At 39.9% G+C, this 7,177-nt stretch overlaps 1 annotated feature.

Moving 5' to 3' along the window:
* Nucleotides 6,973-7,152: an enhancer, noted in NCBI's record as "active region_1180". NCBI's record gives its function as "activates an Ori minimal core promoter by ATAC-STARR-seq in GM12878 lymphoblastoid cells {active_cell/tissue: GM12878}" and the evidence as "EXISTENCE:reporter gene assay evidence [ECO:0000049][PMID:35858748]".

Raw genomic sequence — 7,177 nt, 5'->3', positions numbered from 1 at the left:
CAGTAAAAACCTAAGAGATTCAAGCCAGCAATCAAGAGCAATATCTCTGGGGATTAGTCAAAGCTACTGAGATAATGGCTACCATTTATTAGGTGCTTACTATGGCTGAGTGTTGTGCTTAGAATTATCTCTTTCAATTTTTCAGTTCTAGGGACACCACCTGGACATGTTTTGTCCCACCTCTGTGGTAGCTCCTAGTAAATAATGTCATCACCATGAAGAAGGCTTCTGTCAGCACTATTTGTTATTCCTTCTAATCCACTTCACAGAAGCCAAAAAACAGAGTATGGAGAGGAAACTATTTTCTTAGTAAAAAAAGCAATGTTTGAAGTCAGAAGGCTAAGGCAGTAGGATCACTTAAGCCCAGGACTTCAAGACCAGCCTGGGCAACACAGCAAGACTTTTTCTCTATGAAAAAAGGAAAAAAGCAATGTTTGAGCTCCCATTGGATACAACAGAAATGCCTTTGCCCTCTCAGTACCTAAGGTATCAGGTTAGACCTTCAAGAATGGGTTGAGCTGGCCTCTCAGAATAACATGAGAATTTTGCTTACAGAATAGTTCATTGGTTGAAATGAAATTTTAAACTTTATTACTGTGTTAGTTGAAGGATTCTTCTTTATTATTTATTTATTGAGATTGAGTTTCGCTCTTGTTGCCCAGGCTGGAGTGCAGTGGCATGATCTTGGCTAACTGCAACCTCTGCTTCCTGGGTTCAAGCAATTCTCCTGCCTCAGCCTCCCGAGTAGCTGGGATTATAGGGGCCCTCCACCAGGCTAACTTTTTTGTATTTAGTACAGACAGGGTTTCACTGCATTAGTCGGGGTGGTCTCAAACTCCTGACCTCAGGTGATGCACCTGCCTCAGCCTCTCAAAGTGCTGGGATTACAGGCGTGCACTACCGTGCCCAGCCAGGATCCTTCTTTAAAAGGAAAACTAGAAGCAACTCGAAAGCACACACAGACTTAATTACTTTTGCATTCACCACAGGTTCTGTTTTCCAGCTCACTCCCCTACTTCATGTTCATTTGGCTAAGGACATACAGAGATCTTTGGGTTTGGTTTGGTTTTTTGTCTTGGAACTTGTAAGCAACTTCCTACCTCATGCTCTCTTGCTTACTGTTTCTTCAAATCTTCGCAAGGCTAGTTCCTTGTCATGATTCAGGCCTCACTCACCTCTAAGGGTTTCTGACCATACAATATAAAAAAGTTGTTCCCTATTCACAGCACATTCTCTATACTTATGACTCTGAAAATGATCTTGTTTACTTATATTTATTTACTTCCTTATTCTTTGCTTCTCTCTGCCAGCTCGTAAACTCCATGAAAACAGAGGGGTTGCTTGTTTTGTTTACCACAGAATCCTCAGGGCTCATAACAGTGCTCGACACACTGGCGGATATTCAATAAATAGATATTGAACTACATGTTTATTATCAAGGTGGATAAATAGTAGTAAGTGTGAAATATATTTTCCACATTCAGAATGTCATTGGATGTATTTAAATTTAAAAACTGGAGCTCTGTTGTAATGTCTAAAATAAAATATTTTTAAAAGAAGCATAAGATGAATAACAGTATCTCTTCTATTTCTTCTGAAGTTTTTCTTTTTGGTTTTACTATTCAAAATTAACTTAAAAAGAAGGGGAATATACTGAACACAAAATTTTTTTCTTTTTTTTTTTTCTGGAGACAGAGTCTCACTCTGTTGTCCAGGCTGGAGTGCAGTGGCGCCATCTCGGCTCACTGCAAGCTCCGCTTCCTGGGTTCGTGCCATTCTCCTGCCTCAGCCTCCCGAGTAGCTGGGACTACAGGTGCCTGCAACCACGCCCAGCTAATTTTTTTGTATTTTTAGTAGAGACGGGGTTTCACCATGTTAGCCAGGATGGTCTCGATCTCCTGACCTCGTGATCCGCCTGCCTCGACATCCTAAAGGCTGGGATTACAGGCGTGAGCCACCGCACCTGGCCCATAAAATTAATTTTTAAAGATTAAGGCCTAGCTATAAGGCCTAAAACTATTTTTAAAAAAATCTATAAAACTTTTTTTTTTTTTGAGACGGAATCTCGCTCTGTTGCCCAGGCTGGAGTGCAGTGGCACCATCTCGGCTCACCACAAGCTCCACCTCCCAGTTCACACCATTCTCCTGCCTCAGCCTCCCGAGGAGCTGGGACTACAGGTGCCTGACACCACGCCCGGCTAATTTTTTTTGTATATTTAATAGAGATGGGGTTTCACCGTGTTAGCCAGGATGGTCTCGATCTCCTGACCTAGTGATCCACCTGCCTCAGCCTCCCAAAGTGCTGGGATTACAGGCATGAGCCACCGCGCCTGGTGTAAAAATCTATAAAACTTTTAGAAGAAAACATAGAAGTAAATCTTTGTGACCTTAGATTAGGCAAAAGCTTGTTAGATATGACAATAGAGGGCTGGGTGCAGTGGCTCATGCCTATAATCCCAACACTTTGGGAGGCGAGGTGGATGAATCGCTTGAGCTCAGGAGTTTGAAACCAGCCTGGGCAACATGGTGAAACCCCATCTCTACAAAAAACACACAAAAAATTAGGCGGTGTGCTAGCGTGCACCTGTCATCCCGGCTACTCGGGAGACTGAGGAGGGAGGGTCACTTGATCCCAGGAGTTCAAGGCTACAGTGAGCCTTCATCAGCCCGCGCACTCCAGCCTGGGTGACAGAGTGAGACCCTATCTCAAAAACAAACAAACAAAAAACAAAACAAAAAAAGACAATAGAAGCACAAGTGACCAAAAAAATAGATAAATTGGATTTTATCATAAAGATCACATCAAATTAAAAACTTTTATGCCCCGAAGGATACTATCAACAAAGTAAAAAGTCTTATGATGTTGGCTATGGGAGAAAAACAAAAGAATAAAAGAATTAAAAAGAGAAAAACAAAAAAAGAAAGTGAAAAGTCGATCCCCAGAATGGGGAAAAAAAATATCTGCAAGTCCTATATCTGATAAGAAACTTGCATCTAGAATATATGAAGAACTCTTACAATGTGATGATAAAAAAGAGAGGTACACCAGTTTTTAAAAAGGTAAAGGATCTGAATAGACACTTCTCCAAAGAAGATACAAAAATGGCTAATAAACATGTAAAAAGATGCCCAACATCATTAGCCATTAGGGGAACGCAATAAAAAACCACAAGCAGAACCACTTCACACCCAGTAGAATGGTTATAATAAAAAAGACAGACAATAACAAACATTAGTGAGGACGTGGAGAACTTGGAACTCACATAATTGTTGGTGGGACTGTTAAATTGTGCAGCCTTTTTGGAAAATAGTTTGGCAGTTCCTCAAAATGTAAACATAGAGTTACCATATGACCCCAGCAATTCCATTCCAAAAGAATCAAAAACATATGTCCACCCAAACCCTGCAAACAAATAATCCTAACAGTATTATCCATAATAGACAAAAGGTGGAAACAACCCAAATTTCCATCAACTGATGAATGGATAAATAAAATTTAGTTTATTTATACAGTGGAATATTATTCAGTTACAAAAAAAAAAGAAGTAGTGATAAATGGTACAACACGCATGAACGTTGAAAACACTGTGATAAATGAAAGAAGCCAGTTACAAAAGACCACACATTGTAAGATTCCATTTATATGAAATGTCCAGAATAGGCAAATCTATGAGACAGAAAGTAAATTAGTGATTGCCTAGGGCTGGGGGTAGAAGGAATAAGGAATGACTGCTAATGGGTATAGTTTTCTTTCAGGGGTGATTAAAATGCTCTAAAATTAGATAGTGGTGATGGCTGCACAACTCTGTGAATATACTAAAAACCATTAACTGGTATCCTTTAGGTGGGTGAATTATATAGCACATGAATTATATCTCTATATAGCTATGTTCTCCTTTTTTTTTTTGAAGAGCATAACACAGAAAAAAAAAAGGAAGTTTAAAACCAAGAAGCCCAACTTTCAAAGTGAGTTTGAGGTGGAAAAAGGAGTGTAACATTTCTATTTTTAGCTCTGATATTCTAACTTTAGCACGAGCCTAGACTTGCAATATTATACTTAGCATTCCATTGTCAGACATAGGGGATTTGTCCTTTTCTTCACAAGGAGCACCTTTAGTGGTTTTGTTTTAAAAATACATTATACATTGAATACGCTAAAAATTAATCTACTTACATTGATGTGATGCCTATATCCTCTGTCCCCAAACTGTTAGAATAGTTTGATTTTGCTACATATGGTAGCAATGTAAAGATGAAGGACTTTTTCCTCTTCCGTGTTACCACTGGGTGCCCAGGCTGTAAGGTCAGACTGCCAGACTCTTTCAGTCAATGTGAATTTGGGAGGGGCACTTAACCTCAGGTTCCCTATCTATAAAAGGGGGATAGAGGTAGTAATACCTTTTACTTCATAATGTCATTCTGAAAATTAAAGGAAATAATGCATGTAAAGTATTTAGTACTTAGCAGTGTCTAGTGCATAATAAATGCTCAAACTGTAGTACAGTAGGCCCAGTGCAGTGGCTCACGCCTGTAATTCCAACACTTTGGGAGGCCAAGATGGGTGGATCACTTGAGGTCAGGTGTTCAAGACCAACCTGGCCAACATGGTGAAACCCTGTCTAAATACAAAATTTCAGCTAAATACAAAAATTTAGCCGGGTGTGGTGGCACAGGCCTGTAATCCCAGCTACTCTGGAGGCTGAGGCAGGAGAATCAACTGAACATGGGTACAAAAAAATGTAGTACAGCAATTGTTAGTCATTGCTACTATTTATAGCAACAATAACGGGGTTGAGATTATCAAGAAATGGATGAAAGCAGATTGTAATGTGGCTGAGAATTGAGTACTGTATTAGCATCCTGAAAGTAAATGAAGGCAGGAAGGAAGGAGATACAATATTGTTTCTCCATTTTGTTAACATTAGGCAACTCTATCAGATATTTAATCATGGTTTTCAGCATTTATTGCTAGAAAATCCTTGTAGATAAGACTGTGAAGTTTCATGAGTATTTTTCAGAGAAGAAGATGTGATTCAAATATTGCTACAGAGAGATGACATTTTAGGCCACATGTCTAGTGATATCGTCTGACACTTGTTGCTTTCATAAATCATTTCTTTAATTTGAATAATAGTGTCTAGGAAATTTCTCTTCCCTTGAGGTTTATTTGGCTGATGTTCTCCTATTGAGAGTAGCAAGAACTTTTAGACATTTTAATATTTAATATTAAGAAATTAATATTTCAATTTTGTAGAATAAAGGAAACATTAGTGAAAATAACTAGTTATAAAATAACGATTGAGAGATGTAAAAGACCACCTTGAGCTTTATTTGTATACTTTAAAAATGGGCTTCAAAACTTTTTGGAAATATAGAAGATTCTCCCCTTTTCTCCAAATGCTTATTCATAACATTTTTATGTAATCTTAATAGGTAAATTCTCTGAAGAGCATAAATGAACCTCATAAATTCATAGCCAGAAAATTCCTCTATGTGTAGCTTATTTTCAAATATTCTTATTGTAATAATGCTTGGTGGTTACGAAGCTCTGTTTGAGCAAACCAGAAATCTGTAATGGAGGAGAAAAATGAATAACAACAGGCCTGCCCCACCCCCCAGATTGTGGCAGGAGTAGTTAACTTACTTAAGCTCTTTGTTTTCATTTTCCTAATCTTAAAACAGGAGCAATAACTTTTTTTTTGCGGGGGGGAGGTATGGAGTAATAACTTTCTTATAGAGTTGATGTAAGGTTTAAAGGAGATCACGTATGTAAAGTGCACCAAGCACACACTAAAACATCACGTTTTAGTATGAATATTGTTACTGTGGCCGTGGCCAGAAAGAGTTAAGAAGAGGAGCTTTCACAGATGTCTCAAAGATGCAGGCAGTCTCAGAGACGCAACAGCCCGTGAAGAGAGAAAATCTGTCAAAATGTGGAGATCTTCTACATTGCACTTGAGCTATTTCAAAAAGGTGGGAAGAGTATGGTCAAAAGCTCCTTGTCTTGGTAGGTGCCACAGAACCAGAGCCTGTGGAAGGGGGGATGAGATAGGGGGTGTGTTTGAGGTTGGGCGTTGTGGGCAGGGTGCAGGACTGAGGCAGCAGGGAAATAAGTGAGGAATAGGGGAGGATTGAGAAACAAGAAAACCAGGAGGCTTGCTGCCCCATGTATGTAATATGACTCGTGTCTTCTATTTTCCCTGCTAAGGAATTGATTTAAAATCTGCTCGGAAATTGATGATTACATTCCGCCATGTTACATATCCTGACACGCAACAATGTTTAAATTATATCGGAAATTTAAAAATTGGACTGCTTTCTATCAGGGCAGTCTGAATTAAAGAGCTGATGTCCAGTCTCCTAGTGGAGATAGAATACTGGGCTAATGCCTGTCACTAGCACTTACAGAGGTGTGAATTTGGTAAATCATTTCATCTCTGAAGTGGTTTCAACATTTGTGAAAAGAGGCAAACTATTTGCCTAACAAAATGTTGAGTTCAAGGTTATTCATAGCTCCTACCAAATAAGCGATGCATTTGCTACTTTGTGTTAATGGAAAAGGACTTAAAAATTATGATATACTTAAACCCGGTGCTACCAAATGTGCTTAAATACGCATTCAAATTGTATTCTTTTAATGAATTTTAATATTCTCAACTAGTATCAATGCTTTGTCATTATTAAGTGTTGACTTCAATATTTCCCTCCCCTCACCGCAACTCCTAGCACACATGCACTCGAAATGTTCTCAAATGATATGTATTGAGCGCATGTGACTAACAACACAGCCACCTAAGCCCTGACTTGCCGGACACGAACGGACGATTAATTGGAATAATTGTAACAGGGTTTCTATAAACAGTGCTTCCTGGAGGCTTGCCCCGCGTCTAGCGCTGCACCGTCAGGAGTTAACCACTCCTACGACACCCGCCGCCACACGGTGAGAAGCCCGGGAAAGACGCGCCACGCTCCCATGTGATAGTTTCACTTGTCTTTTTGGTTAGTTCTGCTACCCTAGTTCATGTCCCCGCGAGAGGAAACGTATTCCCCCTCACATTAGACAGAAGAGCCTCGATTCACCGTGGAGGCTGACGGAGGGCCACTCCAGCAACTGAGCAGCTCGGACTTGGCACAGGCAGGGTCCAGCCTACCCGCGGCCGGCGCGGCGCCTCAGCAA

Source organism: Homo sapiens, chromosome 1 (genome assembly GCF_000001405.40).
Source record: "Homo sapiens chromosome 1, GRCh38.p14 Primary Assembly".
Taxonomy (NCBI): Eukaryota; Metazoa; Chordata; class Mammalia; order Primates; family Hominidae; genus Homo; species Homo sapiens.
This window is presented reverse-complemented; position numbering and strand designations above follow the sequence as displayed.